The sequence below is a fragment of the Homo sapiens genome, chromosome 21 (assembly GCF_000001405.40).
Source record: "Homo sapiens chromosome 21, GRCh38.p14 Primary Assembly".
Taxonomy (NCBI): Eukaryota; Metazoa; Chordata; class Mammalia; order Primates; family Hominidae; genus Homo; species Homo sapiens.
In genome coordinates this window covers 31,902,599-31,922,285 of record NC_000021.9, presented here as the reverse complement: position 1 = coordinate 31,922,285, position 19,687 = coordinate 31,902,599, and the positions used below count along the sequence as shown (strand labels likewise).

At 46.9% G+C, this 19,687-nt stretch overlaps 1 protein-coding gene across 2 annotated transcripts in view, besides 2 other annotated features; it reads right to left on the bottom strand.

Moving 5' to 3' along the window:
• Positions 1-19,687, bottom strand: part of HUNK (hormonally up-regulated Neu-associated kinase) — a 131,045-nt gene that overhangs the window by 81,779 nt on the left and 29,579 nt on the right. The gene's annotated exons all lie outside the window — the stretch shown is intronic.
• Positions 8,819-9,629: an enhancer, noted in NCBI's record as "H3K4me1 hESC enhancer chr21:33284969-33285779 (GRCh37/hg19 assembly coordinates)". NCBI's record gives its function as "activates a minimal SCP1, AML or CMV promoter by ChIP-STARR-seq in naive H9 embryonic stem cells {active_cell/tissue: H9 hESC(naive)}" and the evidence as "EXISTENCE:reporter gene assay evidence [ECO:0000049][PMID:30033119]".
• Positions 13,724-14,257: an enhancer, noted in NCBI's record as "H3K4me1 hESC enhancer chr21:33280341-33280874 (GRCh37/hg19 assembly coordinates)". NCBI's record gives its function as "activates a minimal SCP1, AML or CMV promoter by ChIP-STARR-seq in naive H9 embryonic stem cells {active_cell/tissue: H9 hESC(naive)}" and the evidence as "EXISTENCE:reporter gene assay evidence [ECO:0000049][PMID:30033119]".

Sequence of the window (19,687 nt, the reverse complement as noted above, 5' to 3'; positions counted from 1 at the left end):
CAGCACTTTGGGAGGCCAAGGCGGGTGGATCACTTGAGGTCAGGGGTTCGAGACCAGTCTGGCCAACATGGCGAAACCCTGTCTCTACTAAAAATATAAAAATTAGCTGGGTGTGGTGGTGGACGCCTGGAATCCCAGCTACTCAGGAGGCTGAGGCAGGAGAATCGCTTGAACCTGGGAGGTAGAGGTTGCAGTGAGCAGAGATTGTGCCATTGCACTCCAGCCTGGGCAACAAGAACAAAACTCCATCTCAAAAAAAAAGAAAGAAAATTGCTGAGAGATTTTTTAATGTTCTCAAGACACACACAAAACTGATAACCCTGTCAGGTAATGGACATGTCCATGAGCTTGACCATGGTAACCATTTCACAACATGCTCACTTATCATAACCTGCATACTATAAGCACACGCGGTTATCTGTCAGTTAAACCTCAATAAAGCTGAAGAAAACCTTAAAAAACAAAAAGAAAACAAAAAAGGGAAAAAGTCCAAACTAAAGGCAAACTTTAAATTAAACAAAATAGTGAACGAATCAATAAAAGTCTGGCCACCCCCAGGGTGAACTAAGGCATGGATGTCACCTCTTCTTGAGGCTCCTCCTGGCCTCTTGAATTCATTCTACACTCTGCCTCCAAATCAGTGGGTCTAGAACTCTGATTTCTTGCAGAAGCTCTTGAGGTCTCACTGCTGCCTATGGGAGCACCCAAGCATCTTCTCCATCAGCCCCACCACCACCCGGTCCCAACTCCTCCCAGCTCTCCCTCCTGGCATGTCTTGTCACTCCCTGGGACATGCATTCTATCACTCTCCAGGTACTCCAGCCACCCCCTTCCCCCACTCAAGCCCCCAACCCCAGGTCCTTCAGAGGCTAACCTCCCTACCAGAGAGACTCCCCCGCACCTTCCTTCCCTACGTCCCTATACAACAGCATCTGCAGTAAGATGTAAGTCATGGCTTAATGCAGGGACCACTCCCCCTTCACGACACACAGCGCTTCATAAACAGCAAGTGACTAATAGTGACTAACCAATGGAATCACCAAAGCAAAGATGGCTATAAACAGCATAATGTATTATCTCCTCTATAGAGCAGTGTCTCCTTCTTTTTTTTTTTTTTTTTTTTTTTTTTTTGAGATGGAATCTCGCTCTGTGGCCCAGGCTGGAATGCAGTGGCACAATCTTGGCGGCTCCCTGCAACCTCTGCCTCCCGGGTTCAAGCAATTCTCCTGCCTCAGCCTCCTGAGTAGCTGGGATTACAGGCACCCGCCACCACATCCAGCTAATTTTTGTATTTTTAGTAGAGACAGGGTTTGGCCATGTTGGCCAGGCTAGTCTCAAACTCCTGGCCTCAAGTGATCCGCCCACCTTGGCCTCCCCAAGTGCGGGGATTATAGGAATGAGCCACCGTGCCCAGCCCAGAGTCTCATTTTAATAGGGAGGTTCAGGCCCTTAATCCAAAGATGGGAGTAACAAAGAGTCAATCAGCCCCCAAGGGGACCAGACAGGCTAGAAGAGCCCCTGCCATCCACACCTCACAGCATGGGGCCTGCACTACCTCAAGTCAGCTCGGGCTGATGCTCTCAGCCCCCAGGAGGTAAAGTTACACTCTGGCTGTGTCTGGCCCCAAGTAGTTCAAGGGATGCTAAACTAACAGCTTTGTTAACTGTTACCCTCCAAAAACACATAGACACACACATATTTCATATCCATCCTCTTGGGGAGGTGGAGAAAAAAGAATGCTGAAAAGTACAATTAGGCATTGTCTTTGCTCCACTCCGTGTGGCAGTATCTAAAAAATTACACCCTCTGGCAATGAAATTCTTACAAGTACTGTAAACAAACAAGTCTAAAGGCCCAGCAGTAATACAATCTGCCTTTTTAACAGAGTACACAATTATAGTTAAGATACCTTATTGAGTTCTTCAATTGCCTGTACCAGGTTGAATAATGGCCTAATCTCTGGATCATGTGACTTTATTTGGAAAAAGGGTCTTTGCAGAAGTTATTAAGTGAAGAATTCTGAGATGAGATTAGCCTAGATTACCTGGGTAGGCCCTAAATGTCCTCATAAGTGTCCTTATAAAATAGAGAAAGAAGGAGTTTTCACACAAATAAGCAGAGGGGGCAGCCACAGGAGGAAGGAGGCAGACATTGGGGTGAGGGGCGACAAGCCAAGGAATGTTGGCTGCCACTGGAAGCCAGAAGAGGCAGGGAAGGATCCTCCCCTAGAGTCTCTGGAGGGAGCGTGGCCCTGCCAATACTTTTTAAGACTTCTGGCCTCCAGAACTGTGAGAGAATCAATTTGTTACTTTAAGCCACCAGAGTGGTAATTTGTTATAGCAGCCACAAGGAACAAATAGCTTCCCTGAAAATATAAGGAATCTATCTGATGCCCTTTGGGACGCATTTCCAGGCATGGAGAGACCCTCCTTGGCAGTGGGGAATGACGCCACCTTTCACCGGCAGCCTCTCTCTCCTCCTCACTCTAGCCCTTCAGCGTAGTCTCAGGAGCCTCTGACAATTCCTCATTGACTCCACCGTCCCCTCTGCTCCCGCACGTCCATGAGACCCACGGAGAGCAGAGTCTTCACGAACTCCCTCTCAGGCTCCACTCCCAGGGCTGAACCAGCCCATATCAGGGTTTTGCACCTCCATGAGCTATGTCAAAATAGGACCCTATGAAGCTCCACAATTGGTTAGCAAGTGTCTACACTGCAGACCACTCTGAACAGAAAGGACAGCCCAGGTGGCTCTTTCCATGAATCTAGACCTCATTATCACAGCCGTACGATTACAGTCATCCTAACAATTGGTGTTGGTTCCCACATGCCAGGCTTAAGGGTGCATGCTAGGCTTTTCTTTAGGCAGTTCTTCCTGTACCTTCCAACTTCTGTGCAAATGCAGTATTTCCAAGCATTTCTCCCCACTCTCTCACTTCTTGCTCTTTCTCTAGCCCATCCTCCTCCCTTTCCTGAAGGTGAAAGGACAAGGCAATGAGGTGATCTATGGTGCTGGGGAAATACCCCCTGGAAACCCCATCCAGCCCCTCATCCTCATACCACTCATTCCAGCCCCTCCTCCTCATACCGCTCAGTCCAGCCCCTCAACCTCATACCGCTCAGTCCAGCCCCTCCTCCTCATACCGCTCAGTCCAGCCCCTCATCCTCATACCGCTCAGTCCAGCCCCTCCTCCTCATACCGCTCAGTCCAGCCCCTCATCCTCATACCGCTCAGTCCAGCCCCTCCTCCTCATACCGCTCAGTCCAGCCCCTCCTCCTCATACCGCTCAGTCCAGCCCCTCCTCCTCATACCGCTCAGTCCAGCCCCTCAACCTCATACCACTCAGTCCAGCCCAGGCCTTGGGCCGTCGTACCAAGGCCTTCCGTGAAGCAGGCCCAGTGTGGTAAGTCGAAAAATGGCCTCCCAAAGATAGGCCCACATCCTAATCCCTGGAACCTGAAAATGTCATCTTTAGGGGGATGGGACTCTGCAGACATGATGAAGTTAATGGTCTTCAGATGGGGAGGCTGTCCTGGATTAACTGGGTGAGTCCTAAATGCCATCAAAAATGTCTTTAAAAGACGGAGGGGATCAGATGGACAAGCAGAGAAGAAAGCAAAGTGAAGACGGAGACAAGAGAATAACATGGCCACAAGCCCAGGAGATGCCCATGGCAGCCACCAGGGGCTGGGAGAAGAAGCAAAGTCCAAGTCTCCCCTTAGGTCTCTGGAGGAAGCGTGGCCCTACTGACACCTTGATCTCCAATGAGACTGATTTTGGACTTCCAGCCTCCAGACTGTGAGGGAATCACTTTCTGTTGTTTTAAGCCACCAAGTTTGTGGTCATTTGTTACAGCAGCTGCAGGAAACTAACACCCCTGGTGTGTGCCCTACCATCATCTGACACCTTGATTCCCAAGTTCTGCCATCAAGGTTCCCTCCATGAAAACCCTGAGCCCTTAAGCTACCTCACCTTGGAGAAGGTTTCCTATTAAGCTCCCTCTCAATTTTCAAATACCAGCTCATTATCAGCTTGTTTTCATCCACCCCCTGACTTACAAGCTCCATACTTACAAGTTGATAATACTGAAATGGAATGCCGTTCTTGATTACACAAAACCATTTAATCGACTTCATCTATAACAACTGAAATGGGGAAAAAAAATGAATGGGAAATTAAGGAAAAGTCAATCAGTGATCAGCAAAGGGAGACATCTAATTCAATTTGACAGTAATCAGAGGTTTGCAGGCAAAACAAAGCTAACACTGACTCTAACTGGGTAAAGCCTAATGCAATAATGGATCTCTAGCTGCAAAATAAACTACTTGAGTCGGGGGAGTTTTACAGAGTGAAATTAAATCTTTGCTATCAAATGGCAGTAAAATAAGCAAGTTTAGCATGTTCCAGGCAACAGGAGTGATAGCACCACACCAATCAATGGCTCTTACCAACGCTGCAGGTTCCCCGATTCACTTAAGGATGAGGCCCCCAGCCAATGCCGCCAGGGAACTCCCAATTCAGTCCAGGGGTGTGTGTGTGTGTGTGTGTGTGTGTGTGTGTGTGTGTGTGTGTGTGTGTGTGTGTGTGTGTATGTTTGGGAATGGGAGTTTCAGGAGGGTATCTAAGCCTGGATGTCATCATGAGCACAAGAAAAACAACTTTCTGTCAAAGATCAGTAAAACCGAGACTCATCAACAGATCCAAGTTGCAAGCCTTTTCAAAATTTTACAAAGGAATCAGTTTTCCAAAGATTTCCCCCATATTTCCAAGAAGATTAGTAGCAAAGTCCTGCAGTGGTGGAAAATTAGTAGAAAGAGAAGAGCACAGTTCCAATATATGACAGTTGAAAGAGATTATTCATCAACTTCTTTTATTAATTAAGAAATAGCAGCTTGTGCAACATGGCGAAACCTCATCTCACAAAAATTAACCAGGCGTGGTGGCTCGTGCCAGTAGTCCCAGCTGCTCGGGAGGCTGAGGTGAGAGGATCGCTTGAGTCTGGGAGTTCCAGGCTGTAGTGACCTATGATCTCACCACTGCACTCAAGCCTGGGCGACAGAGTGAGACCCTGTCTCAGAAAAAGGAAAAACAGAAAGCATTTCTCACAACACGGTAACTCCACCCTCCTCCTTCCCTGCCAAACAAACACCACCAATCAATGATGATGGATAAAATCAGCAAACCACTTTTAAATAAATAGCTAAGCTCATAAGAAAGCAATGGAAATCCCCCAAGGCCAAAAAATCACTAGCAGCAGCTACAGAGATAACGAAATACAAGATGCAGGAGAGACAGAAAGAGAGGAAACCCGGCCGGGTGTGGTGGCTCACACCTGTCACCCCAGCACTTTGGGAGGCTGAGGCTGGTGATAACTTGAGGTCAGGAGTTTGAGACCAGCCTGGGCAACATGGTGAAACCCCATCTCTACTAAAAATACAAAAATTATCTGGGCGTGGTGGTGCATGCCTGTAGTCCCAGCTACTTGGGAGGCTGAGGCAGGAGAATCACTTGAACCTGGGAGGCAGAGCCTGCAGTGAGCCAAGAAAGCTCCATTGCACTCCAGCCTGGGTGACAGAGCAAGACTCCATCTCAGAAAAAAAAAAAAAGAAAGAGAGAGGAAACCTTAAGGAAGGAGAGGAAGAGGAGGAAGAGTTTGCCCTGCACGAAAGGGAAGCACTGCTCTCCCCAACACAGGACAGGAGGAAGAGGCCATGTGTGTGGATCCCAACCCATCAGGAGAGAGGTCACTTGCTGACTGCCGAGGAATCCATGCTTGACGGCCTTTGTTAGGTATTAGGAGAAAAAAATCCAATGTAGAATTTTACTTAGAATAAGGGATGCTCAAAATCACCCAGGCCCAGTAATGCACCCGGTAATGACACACACTTCCATCTACCAATAGTCCCTAAGATAATGTACATAAAGAAAGCACTTAGGGCCGGGCGCAATGGCTCACACCTGTAATCCCAGCACTTTGGGAGGCCGAGGCGGGCGGATAACGAGGCCAGCAGATCGAGACCATCCTGGCTAACATGGTGAAACCCCGTCTCTACTAAAAATACAAAAAATTAGCCGGGTATGGTGGTGGGTGCCTGTAGTCCCAGCTACTCGGGAGGCTGAGGCAGGAGAATGGCATGAACCCGGGAGGCGGAGCTTGCAGTGAGCTGAGATCGCGCCGCTGCACTCCAGCCTGGGCGACAGAGCGAGACTCCGTCTCAAAAAAAAAAAAAAAAAAAAAAAAAGAAAGCACTTAGTACAATGTCTGGCACATACGAAGTGCTCCTTAAATTGATGCTGTTATTATCATTACCAATTTACTTTCAATGAATCAACCCGTAGAGAGGGTGAATAAGCATTCAAGCTCAGTTCAGCTAAGGAAAACAATATGCATTTCCTTGACCGGTGGCTTCAGCATATTAAAAAAGAAGGCTGAACTCTATCTCAGGGTTTTCAACTCTCTGGAATAGAGTAGCTTTTAAATCCCAAGGCAGTGACTTCCTATCAGGCGAGTCTCTCATCTTCTTTAAATATTGACTTAGCTGAGACTGTCTACATAGGATCAGAGTTAACAGGATTTTAAATTCATCCCTTCCTCCTGTATCACCCTTCACTGCCTTTAAAATTCATTACTCTGAAACACATCAAGTATTGATGTATCCAATCTCCAAAATGAGAAGTCAGATGTAAAATGGATCTTCTGTACAACTGAGAGGAAGAAAAAAAATATACTGATCAAAGAGACTCCTCTTTAATATCGCAGAAATATACATATGTGTTTTACACATTATACAATGTGCTGTATTTTAGAAAGTTCATAGCCTTTCCTTAATCAAAGCACTTTTACACCATGTTTTAAATAATCAAAATGCACAGGGAATGGGAAGCCCTGATCAACTGAGTTTTCTTTTCATATGGAAATTATCCCCAAAAAAGCTTTCTTCCCAGAACACTTTGGTTTCTTAATGAATACTGTATACTAAACTCAAATGAATCTTTCCTTCTTCAACAAACATTTATTAAACACCTAAAATATACCTGCCAGGGTTCTAGGTATAAGTGTATGCAGGTTGAACATCTCTAATCTCTAACCTGAAAACCCAAAATCCAACATGTTCCAAAATCTGAAACTTGTTAAGCATCAACACGACACCTGTAGAAAATGGTCACTGGAGTATTTGGAATGAAGGGTGCTCCACTGGATACTAAGCAAATATAAAAAAAAAAAAAAAAATCCCAAATCTAAAACACTTCTGGTCCCAAGCAGATAAGAGATAATTAACCTGTACTATAAAAGAGTCCTGGATCTTTAGGACCATTTGTCGGGGAGGGGAGGATAATTCAGATTCTTTGTCATGGTTCAAGATTGCCATCTGCAATAGACTGAATTGCGTATGTTGAAGCCCTAACCCCCAACGTGACTGTATTTAAAGAGAGAGACTTTAAAGAGGTTATTAACGTTAAATGAGGTCATTAGAGTGGGGCTCTAATCCAGTAGGACCGATGTCCTTATAAGAAGGAGAAGAGACACCAGAACTCTCTCTGTCTCTGAGCCTGCACAGAAAGGTCATGTGAGGACACAGAGAGAAGGCAGTCATCTAGAAGCCAAGGGGAGAGCCTTGGGAGAAACCAACCCCGCTGGCACCTTGATCTCAGACTTCCAGACTCCAGGACTGTGAAACATGAATTTCTGTTGTTTTAAGCCACCCACTCCATGGTATTTTGTTGTGGCAGCCTGAGCAGGCTAATAGACCATCTGAGCATCCTACAATTCTACGGGATTCCCTGCAGAAGAGTAAAAATGTAAGAACAAAGGGCTAGCATTCATTCACTGCGGGCTAGGGCCGGGTCTTTTTTTTTTTTTTTTTTTTTTTTTTTTTGAGACAGAGTTTCACTCTTGTTGCCCAGGCTGGAGTACAATGGCAAGATCTCAGCTCACTGCAATCTCCACCTCCTGGGTTCAAGCGATTCTCCTGCCTCAGCCTTCCCGAGTAGCTGAGATTACAGGAATGAGCCACCATGCCCGGCTAATTTTGTATTTTTAGTAGAGACGGGGTTTCTCCATGTTGGTCAGGCTGGTCTTGAACTCCTGACCACAGGTGATCCGCCCGCCTTGGCCTCCCAAAGTGCTGGGATTACAGGCATGAGCCACTGCGCCCGGCCTAGGGCCAGGTCTTACAGTTCCTCTTCCACTCTCCTCCTGCCTTCCCCAGTCTGGGGACGTCACAGCAACAGCAGCTGGGCACACAGCCTCTGAAGCTGCAAACCCTGGCTCTGAGAGCATTCATCAGAGTCCTCAATAAGTGGTGGTCAGTAGGCTCTGCGTGTTTGGTTCAGAGGAGTGGGTAGACACGGAAGCCCAGACAGCCCCTGCCCCGGACTGCCACTCCCACTACTCCCTGTGACTACCTCACCAGGGTCCCTGGCACCCGGAGGCTACTCTCCCTGCTGACCTCTCACACCCTGCTTGCCCTCCCAGGTCCCACACCTCCTGCTTCTCCCCCAGTAGCCTCCCTGAGGTTCTATCCCAGGCCTTCCTCTGCTGGGGAGGCACGCGTCCACCCCTCCACTTCCAGCACGCTCATGACTGTCCATCTGCCCATGAGTGCCAATGCCTGTCCTGCTCACACCTCTTCCTGAGCTCTGACGTGCCTCTGGCCATCTCCACCTGGATAATCTGTGGGCCTCCGAGCCTGTCACCTCCCCCGGCCCCAACTCCTCTCTGGGGCTCCCAGCTCAGCCTACAGTAACCATCCACAGGTGGCCCTACTGTAACATCCTCCTCCAGCCACCCTGCCCCTATTCCCACACCTCATTCATCACCAAGAGTCTGTCACCTCCACCTTGGACAATTTCCCTCCCCTTCCCCTTCCTTCCTGTACTCCCCTGCTGCAGCCCCACCATCATCCCTCGGGCAGAGTTGGGCCTCCCTGCTAATCTCTCTGCCTCCTGTCTCCCACTCCCACCCAGCCCAGCCTGGAATTCCCTCCCACACACTCTTGGCCAGGTCAACCCCAATTCCCACCCGCCACTGGCCTCAGGTTACAGTTTGCTTCCCCATCCAGACTGGCTGGGGTCACTCCGGGCCTCTCCAGCTGTCACACCCATCACACACACGCTTAGCTGCTATGATACCCTCCACTGTACTTTCCATGAAAGTAGGAATGGTGTCTGACCTCCCAGCACCCTAGGACAGTGCTGGGCTCATGGGAGCAAGGGAAAGAGGGAATCAATGAATAAATGAATGCATGTGTGGAAAATCCCACCAGGGCACTACAGGAGGCCAGTATAAGTTCTTGGCCATCTCTACTACTGCCTTGGGAAATCCCACGACTTCAGCCCTCAGATTTCCCAATTACAATGTAGGCAGACCAGTGCCTTCCCTTCAAACATTAAAATCATTTAAATCAAATATGAGTGCTATCTGTGGACACCGTTTCAGCTTGTGTGCGATCGTGATGCAGAGTCGACAGACCTCTGTGTGAGAAATGTCCCCCAGGCAGATGGCTTGAGCCCAGGAGTTCCAAACCAGTCTGGGCCACACAGTGAAACCCCGTCTCTACCAAACAAATACAAAAACTTAGCCAGCTGTGGTGGTGCAGGCCTGTGTTCCCAGCTCCTTGAGAGGCTGACGTGGGAAAAGGGCTTGACCCTGGGAGGTTGACGCTGCAGTGAGCCGTGATCACACCACTGCACTCCAGCCTGGGAGACAGAGTGAGGCCCTATCTCGAACAAAAAAAGAGAAATGTCCCCTTCTCAGAGAGGCTTCCCCAACCAGCCTAATTACAACTCTACCCCTCTCCTCCCCCGACCGAGGCATTCACAATCTCCTAACCCTATTTTCCCCTGTAACTCACTAGGCTACAATAGGTTTTCCTTCGTCACCACAAGAAATTCTCCCATCTCCAGACCCCTGCTGGGATCAGCCCTTTTGGCTCCTTCTCACCCTTTTTCAAGGCCAGGCCCATTCTTTTCCTAGAACACTTTCAGAACCCCCTTCCAGGCACCAAACCCTCGGTCATTTCAAAAATGACTGAACCTGGCGTGTCCAGTGTCCAGCACCGCGTCAGGAACCTGGAAGGAGCTCCATCAGCATGCCCTGGATAACAACAGGGCCAGCATGGACCTGGAAAGAAGATGGGGAGGGAGGAACGGTGGGGGAAGGACAGATGCATGGCCACGGCCAACCCCAATCCCAGGTGTTTCTTCCAGATTCCAATTTGGGGTAGACAGCAGCCGTACAACTGACGCCAAATGCCAATGCTAGAAAGTAGGTACGAGGAGACCGAGCAGCTCTGGGAAAGTCCCAACAGAAACAGAAATTTAGGATCCGCGCTGAGCCCAAGGCAGTGACTATCGTCCCTGCTTGCCGTCCAGCCTTTTCCTGCTGCAGAAAATGGTTTCTCACTTCCTAAAAGTGTGACTAAGAATTGGGGACAGGACATGGGGAGAAGGGGTGGTGGGGAGACCTCACAGGCGCAGCATTACAGCAGGCGATCCATGACAGAAGGACCCTCATTCTTCACCACCAGCCCCCACACGCCCCCCTAAAATTCCTGACATGCCAATGTCTAATTCTGGGTGGTCCCCTTGGTAGGCACCCCATCTCTCTCCCAAACTTGTCTGAGCTGTCACCTTCTCCAGAGCAGCGAATCTAGAGGGACAGGAAGGCTACCCAAAAGTGAGGACCATGAAAACACACCCAGGCTCCCCGTGGCTCCCAAAGGAAAGAATCCACGTCATGAGGATGCCTGCGCCACTCCCATCAGGCAGCCCACGGCTCCCTCGGCTTGACCCGCCTCCTCGTTGTTCCTCAGCAGCAGAAACAGGGGTGTTCCCTCCTGGGGATCTTGGCCACATAGCACTCCCTCAACCTCTAAGATCCTGACGAAATGTCAGCTCTCAGAGAAGCTTCCCTGACTCACCCACTTATAACCACATCATCTGGAGCTCACAACCCCTGTGCCCCGAGGCTATTTGTTCCATAGCACTTATCACCTCTGAAGTCCCACAGAACTGAGTGAGCATGGAATCTGCCTGACGCTTAGAAGCCCCAGAAGGGAAGAGATGGTCCCTCACTGACATGCTTACCACATCCAGAACAGCCCCCGCACACAGGCGGCGCTCAATGAGTATTTCTTGAATGAATGAATCCACGTGCAGTTGGAAGAAGAAGAATCTATTAACTATTTCAGAATCTGTTATGGGCTAAGTCGTGTCCTCCCCCAAAATTCCAGCCCCAATGTGATTGTACAGTTGACCTTCCATGGGTTCCAACCTCAGATCAGAAATGTTGGGGAAAATAATTCACAAAGTTCCAATAGGCAAAACTTGAATTTGCCGCATGCCAAGTGCTAAGTTGAATCCACGTGAATGAAGTGATGTGTAGGCATTGCATTAGGTATTCTAAGTAAGGTGGGGATGATTTAAAATATACAGGAGGATATGTATAGGATATATGCAAATATGACACTATTTGTTATCAAGAACTTGAGCATCCTTGGACTCTGGTATCAGAAGGAGATCCTGCCCAGCACTTTGGGAGGCAGAGGCAGGCAGATCACCTGAGGTTGGGAGTTCGAGACCAGCCTGGCTAACATGGCAAAACCCCGTTTCTATTAAAAATACAAAAATTAGTCAGGCGTGGTGGCGCATGCCTGTAATCCCAGCTACTTGGGAGGCTGAGGCACAACAATCACTTGAACCTGGGAGGCAGAGGTTGCGGTGAGCCGAGATCGCGCCATTGTACTCCAGCCTGAGTGATGGAGTGAGACTCAGTCTCAAAAAAAAAAAAAAAAGGATATCCTGAAACCAATCCCTGCAGATACAGAAAGATGGCTGTATTTGGAAACAGGGCCTTTAAACAGGGAAATAAGGTTAAATGAGGACATGAGGGTGATGCCCTAATCCAACAGGACTGGTGTCTTGATACGAAGAGAGAGACACCAGGGATGAGAATACAGAGGATGTCTGTGCGAAGACACAGTGGGAGGGCAGCCTTCAGTCAGCCAAGGAGAGGAGGCCTCAGGAGAAACCAAACCTACTGACCCCTTGATCTCAGGTTTCCAGCCTGCAGAACTCAGACAACATCAATGTCTGTTGTTGAAGGCCCCCCAGGTCTGTGTTATTTACTGTACTAGCCCCAGCAAACCAAAGCAGAACCTTTATGAAACCTTTATGATGGTTATTAGTAATAACAGAATGGCTTGCTTTGTAAATCTCATCATAAAAATTCAAACCTGGTTGACAGCACTGGAGGAAATGATTTGGGCAGGGTGGGCAAAGGGAAAGCCCCCAGAGCAATGAAGGAAATGACAAGGGCCTGAGGGCTCCCGGCTCCCGGCTCCAGCCCAAGCCTGAATTCCGCATAAAAGGGCTGAAAACTGTGGTGATTAGCATGACCCAGTGGGGAGTTTTGAAAATAAATTGGTTTCACGCCATCTTCCAAAGAAACGATGTGGGTAAATGCATCCGAGTGGAACGTGCTCCTGTGTGGACAATACTTATTTAACAGAAAGCAGAAAATAGCCTTTGCTGGCTTTATAATTAATTTCAGTGTTGCTCCGATTTGCAGAGAAACGATGCTAGACAGCAAACACACACATCCCTGTCTTTTACAGGGGCCCATTAATTGCTGCTATTTATGTAGCAGGGCTCAACTGCCTCTGACCCCTGGCTCCCCACTGGCCACCCTCCTGCTGCTGAGCTAAAATTCGCCTTTTTGTTGAGGGAAAAAGTTTCCTTCCCCAGTTTAAACAACAAAGCTCATTAGGACTGATCTTGGCGATGCTAACAGAACCAGGTGCTGGGCAAAGGCAAAAAGCAAGACTAAGGAAAAAACAATGGCAGCTCCCAACGCAGGGCTGGGAAACCCTCCCACGCCCACCCAGGGGAGTTCTCAAGCCACTTTCCCGGGGATCCTCTGCGCCTGGGCTCCAGCCCCAATTCAGTAAGCAGATCACCCTGGAAACGTATCCTGCTGGTGAGAGACTAGAAACTGGTTCCTGCAAGAGAGGAATGCAAAACGGAGAATATTGAGATAGCAAGGTAGAATTGCTGGGCTGTACAGACAACGGTGGGGCTTGTGCAATTGCTGGAATTCTTATCAGAAGGCTGCTACTTAGTTAAAATATGTGTTCTTCCTTTGTCCAAGATGCATTTATTATCCACAAGGATAAAATTAACCCTCAGTCCCTCCGGAGTGCTGCCCACTTACAGTGCACAAAACTCGGGAATCTTAAGGGGAGATGAGTATTGTTAAAACAGGTAATGCTAGCATCCTGTCTCTTTGGTTTGGAAAAGTGTCAAAAGGGCCCAGTTTACAAGTTTTTTGAGACCGTGTGTGATTCATCTTGGTATGCCCCAAAATATTTAACTCCTGAAACACAACTGATAAATATATTGGCAAAAAAAACCCTGAACACCCAATGGTCTTAAATCCTCAGACACTCCCATTCCCCAGTAGCCCTGTCTGTTCCCAGTCTCTTCCAACTCTGCCCCATCTTTAATCATCCAGAGTGTAACTCCGCAACAACAGAGAGGAAGCCTCAAATGACATAATCTAAAAGCAAACAGATCCACGGGATCCAAAAAACAATGGGCTGGTTATGCACAACCACCCCTCGCCAGCCATGACGGGGAACTTGCTGAGAATCCCAGCTGGACACCCCGACGTGGTGGGCAGCCTGCACCCCACTCTCCCTCCCTGCCTTTCAAAAGTCACACATTCACAACCGTTCCTCCTCGCTGAGGCCTGCCTTCTCCCCACCTGTTGCCCGACCGGTTCATCCCCTTTCCCCTTGCCCCTCCCCTACGATGGATTGCCAAGTCTCCTCCGAAAGGTTCCTTCCTGGCCACCACCCTGCCCTGGCCAGCCTCCTTACAGGCCCCTAGCACTCCCCCACCCTCCCGGCTTTCAGCACTTTCACGCGCTGAGGCCCCACAGTCTTCTTTCTAAAGACAGTTACGGTCATCGTCTAAATAAAGTCCAGATTCCTCGATGAGAAGTTGAAAGTCCTTCATGATCTGCTGCCAGCACGCCCCCACTCCCACCCACACCTCCCTCTCCACTTTTTTTTTCTTGGAACAAAGTTTATTTTGACTAGCTTACATTCTATCAATTTTTGTTTAGCCCAATTGCCTATGGTCAAATAAAATTTTCATTCTTTAAATGCTTTTATACAATAGTCATAGTGAGACACATACTCCTTAAGTTTTTGTTCATTTAAAAAAAATTTTTTTATTGCGGTAAAAACACCTAAATAAAAGTTACTGTCCTCACCATTTTTTTTTTCTTTTGAGATGGAGACTCGCTCTGTCACCCAGGCTGGAGTTGCAGTGGCGCGATCTCAGCTCACTGCAACCTCCGTCTCCCGGGTTCAAGTGATCCTCCCACCTCAGCCTCCCTAGTAGCTGGGACTACAGGTGCCCACCACCACGCCTGGCTAATTTTTGTATTTTTAGTAGAGACAAGGTTTCTCCATGTTGGCCAGGCTGGTCTCAAACTCCTGACCTCAAGTGATCCGCCTGCCTCGGCCTCCCAGAGTGCTGGGATTACAGGTGTGAGCCAGCACGCCCGGCCCATCCTCACCACTTTTAAGTGCACAGATCAGAGGTGTGAAATATGTTCACGTGGTTGTGACTCCTCTCTACTTTTTATATCTTCCAGGTATGCCCCGTGCTGGCTCCCTGCTTCTCACATGTCCAACTCATCAATGGTCCCCACCTGGGCACTATCACTCTTGGTTCAGAGGGAACAACCGGTACCTCTGAGCAATCTCAGAATGGCACAAGAGAATCCACAGGAGACATCCTCGCCTCAGCCACATGTCCAGTGCCATCCAACCAAGATCTGTAAGCCACATAAGTCATGTTACATTTCCTAGTAGCCACAGTACGTAAAAGGACACAGGTGAAATTAACTAACACTCTATTTCCTATAACCCCATTTATCTAAAATATTATCATCTCAGCATGTGACCAATATTTTGAAATTCTTAAGGAGATATTTTGCATTTTTTTTTCATACTATGACGTCTTGAGATCTGGTGTGTGTTTTACAATTGGAGCACATCTCAGTTCGGACAAAGCACATTTTTTCTGTTTGTTTGTTTTTGAGATGGAGTTTCACTCTTGTTGCCCAGGCTGGAGTGCAATGACGAGATCTCAGCTCACTTCAACCTCTGCCTCCCAAGAAAGAAATTCTCCTGCCTCAGCCTCCCAAGTAGCTGGGATTACAGGTGCCTGCCACCACACCAGGCTAATTTTTCTATTTTTAGTAGAGCCGGAGCTTCACCATGTTGGCCAGGCTGGTCTCGAACTCCTGACCTCAGGTGATCCACCCACCTTGGCCTCCCAAAGTGCTGGGATTACAGGTGTGAGCCACCACACCGGGCCAGACCAGGCACATTTCAAGTGTTCAACAGCTACATGTGGTGAGAGGCAACTGTAAGGGACAGGGAAGTTCTGGCTGTCTGGCTTTGGGCAAACCACACACCCTCTGAGCCCACGGACCAGCTGACTGCCTGCCTGAGACCTAGCACTCAAAACACAAAGTCTGGGCCAGGTGCAGTGGCTTACACCTGTAATCCCAGCACTTTAGGAGGCTGAGGTAGGCGGATCGCTTGAGCCCAGGAGTTCAAGACCAGCCTGGGCAACATGGTGAAGCTCCATCTCTACAAAAAATACAAACATTAGCCATTTATGATGGCACACATCTGTGGTCCCAGCTACTTGGGAGGCTGAGGCAGGAGCCTGAGCCCGGGAGGCAGAGGTTGCAGTGAGCTGAGATCGTGCCACTGCATTCCAGCCTGGGCGACAGAGCGAGATTCTCTCTCAAAAACAATTAAACAAACAACAACGGCAACCACAAAATCTGGAGAATGAAGGAAGGAAGAAATGCTCTGTTTTCTCATCTGCAAAGTGCATATGAGATTACCAGTCACCCACATTTGTAATGAGAATTAAATCATGCCTTTTGGAACCCAGCTGAGGTCAGAGTCCCAGCACTGAGAAATCCTAGGCAAAAAACTTAACCTCGGTATGCCTCCGACTATTCATCAGTAAGCCGGGGATAATAATGGTGGCCAAGGTAAATAATGGAAAGTGCTTGCACATAGTGACCATCCATTAATTGTAGCTAAAACTGAGCCAACAATAATAACAACACAGTGGAATTAAGATATAGCTAATAGATGCAGATGATGCTAAGGGGAAATATCAAAGCAAGCCAGTGCATGGCAGGGGCAGCAGTGCAAAAACCCAGGGGAGGGAGAGACACAGCAGCTCCAGGAAAAAAAAAAATTAAAATAACAGTCGTACACTAAACTGAACACAGGAATCCTTATCACAGCTCCTCCCAGCCCCAGGCCCGCTAGTGACCCATTCACAGGAGGTCCTCAATAAACCTCTGCAGATGGCTTCTCTATGCTATGAGAACACGAGGCTTCCTTCCTCCCCCACTAAATCACACACTAAACATCGGGGCTAGCCCCCATGCCTGTGTTCATGAGAAAGGGAAAAGTAGGTCTTTTTTCCACTCTGCCCTGATTTATTCATGTGCGTTTATGGTGTCCGTCTGTACAAAGCAGAATTTGTGTTCCTGCAATGACTCCATAAATCCTCCTGGCCTCCCTGCACTGGCTGGGAATAATGAATGCTCTGCTTCCACTGACAGCAGATAATGGCTCTCAGGAAGGGCCAGGAATCCATAAGCAGATAACAGGGAGCTCAGTGGGAGGTGGGCGCAGGTTTGCACACACGTGTGCACATGGTGGGAAGAACGACATGGAGATCATAAGATGCCGGCCTTGACTCCTTTTTCTTTTTCAATACATTTTGCTCTTTCAACCATTTTAATTACTATCTCCCAGTGTGTTTGTTTGCTAGGGCTGTCACAACAAAGTATCACCGACTGTGTGGCTTACTGTCTTACAATTTTGAAAGGATACAAGTCTGAGATCAAGGTGTGAGCAGGACTGGTTACGTCTGGAGCCTCTCTCCTAGGCTTGTAGGTGGCTTTAAAAAGTAACAGGTGAAATTAACTAATAATCTATTTCCTATTACCCCATTTATCATCTCCTTGTGTCTTCATGCGGTCTTCCCTATGTGTCCGTGTCCAAATTTCCTCTTCTTATAAAGACACCAATTAGATTGGATCGAGGCCCACCCACAGGACCTCACTTTAACTCAACTACCTCTTTTTTTTTTTTTTAGACACAGTCTCACTCTGTTGCCCAGGCTGGAGTGCAGTGGTGCAATCTTGGCTCACTGCAACCTCTGCCTCCCGGGTTCAAGCAATTCTCCCATCTCAGCCTCCCGAGTAGCTGGGATTACAGGTGTGCACCACCGTGCTGGCTACTATTTTTAGTACAGACAGGGTTTGAGGCCAGGCTGGTCTCAAACTCCTGACCTCAGGTGATCCGTTCACCTTGGCCTCCCAAAGTGCTAGGATTACAGGCATGAGCCACCACATCCCGCTCAACTATCTGTTTAAAGACTATCTCCAAATCGAATCACATTCTATGGTACTAGGAGTTAAGGCTTCAACATGTGAATTTGGGGGTGGGACACAATTCAGCCCATAACACCAGTAAAATTTATCACGAATTCTAGAACTAAGGAAAAAAGAAATAGATCTAAAACACGGAAGACCCACGGAAACTCCGGAGAGGAAGCAACATGACTCAAGGAAACGCCAACAATCCCAAGACATCTCCAAGCAAACCTGATACTTTGAGTTCCTTTTCTCTCTGTCACATGTTTTCCCAGCTTATGACTTTCTAAATACGATTTTAAGCTATTAACTTTTCTGCAAATAAGCCTATCGCTGGCATCTTTGGAGACATCTCTACTTCTTGCTTATCTTTGCAAAAAGAGGTCACCATCTTTTTATTTGCATTAGTCACCTTGGATTTTCATTTTCTCAGCTGCTTTCAGTGAGGCATAAAGTTTAGGAAACATCAGATAAATGTAGTTTCTACTCTTTACCATTTGTTCAACCATTTAAAGTTTAGCAACATGTAAACAGAGACAGAAGGGGCCCGAAGAGTAGACCCAAAAAGATTTCCTGAAGCAAAATACATGTCAAAATCTCCTGGGATTTCAATATTTGAACATAAAAGGCCAATCTTTTGTGGTGAATAGCCATGATTTGTATACTAGATGGAGAACCGAGACTAATTGCTTAGCTTACAGGAAAAGGGGAACTCAAAATACCTCCATGAAGAGGTACTTAAACTCTTGCAGTAACTGTAACTACTGGATGAGAAATTCACAGCTACCAGCAAGTGGGCTATTTCTTTAGTTGATTTTGTTTAGTTTTCTTAAACAGCATCACGACTGAAGAGTAACATCATCTAAATCAGCTATCAGAAAACAAAAAGAAGAAACTAATGACTTTCAACCAATACTGTTGATCCCATTAGATACAACCTGAGGACGTTTTAGAAAAACTAACTTAAAACATTCCTCTTACTTTCTCCAAAATCTTCTGGGTCTCATCTTGTGAACATGCAGAAATAGCACAGTCCTTTTGAAACTGTGATCACTGAAGGAACAATTGGGGGTTTTACTTTTGTTTCCGTTAACGGAGGGGTAAATTTTATTTAATAGAGGTTTGGGGACTTGCCTAGAGTCACACAGACAATTCCAAGACTGAAACACAAACATTTCTGTTCTATCCAGGACACTAACTTTCAAAATTCTTTTAAAATATAGACTTCTTATTCATCATTTAGTCAACCGCCTAGCTGTAAAGGTAATTTTTTTTTTGGCAAGAGTAAATTAATCTGTGTGGCCAAGAATGAAAATTATTTTCAACTCCACAGTATTTTTAGTACCTAGCGAACATTTTTTACTATTCCAATGACTAAAAAGTAACTAATGAAACAATATGAAATATACACACGCAGCACCATGAATATTTATATAGTCAAGTTCAATAAAAGAATTATTTCTAGAGAGCAGAATATCATCGACTTCAAAGGGATGTTTTCCACTTACAAGAACTAATCATTATGAAAATACATTTTAAATTCTGAGATATCTTTTTTGATTTGTGGTGGAGGGGTAGCTGTGATTGGAGTTATTATTCTCAGTTTATGATTTTCTATCCCACTGGGCCCCATGCTCTGAATTTGGGTCAAGCATAAGTTATCCATTGCTTTCATCAACATTAATGGAGCTTTGTTATGTTAAAATCATGTTAGAAAGAGTTTAATGTGGCTTTCATCGAATCAAGATTTATTGGTTGCAAATTCCACCTCTCTCCCGCACCGAGAAAAAAAAAGTAAAATTAGACACTTTGATCATGATCACATTTTCAAAAGTGGATCAGTAGTGTTAATCTCATTATATTAAACACATTTTATCATTACATAAAGAAAAGATTAATAGTGTGAGAGCTTATAATTAAGCAGCACACAGGGCGGATCTCCATGGTCTAGAAAATCAATAAATAAATGTAGGCAACTGTCTGATTAACTTAAGCTTAGTAAATATTCCAATGGCTGGGAGATCCATTTAGTGGCCTAAATTAACTAGTTTAGCTGTCAATAAGCATGCAATTGATGAGCTCTTTGGACAATCGCCATTTCTCTGTAAATTTCATGGTGTGAAAACAAAAAGGCCTATGTGTGGACCACAGCATGAAGCCATATAAACCTCCAACTGGGACTAGTTTCATTGAATA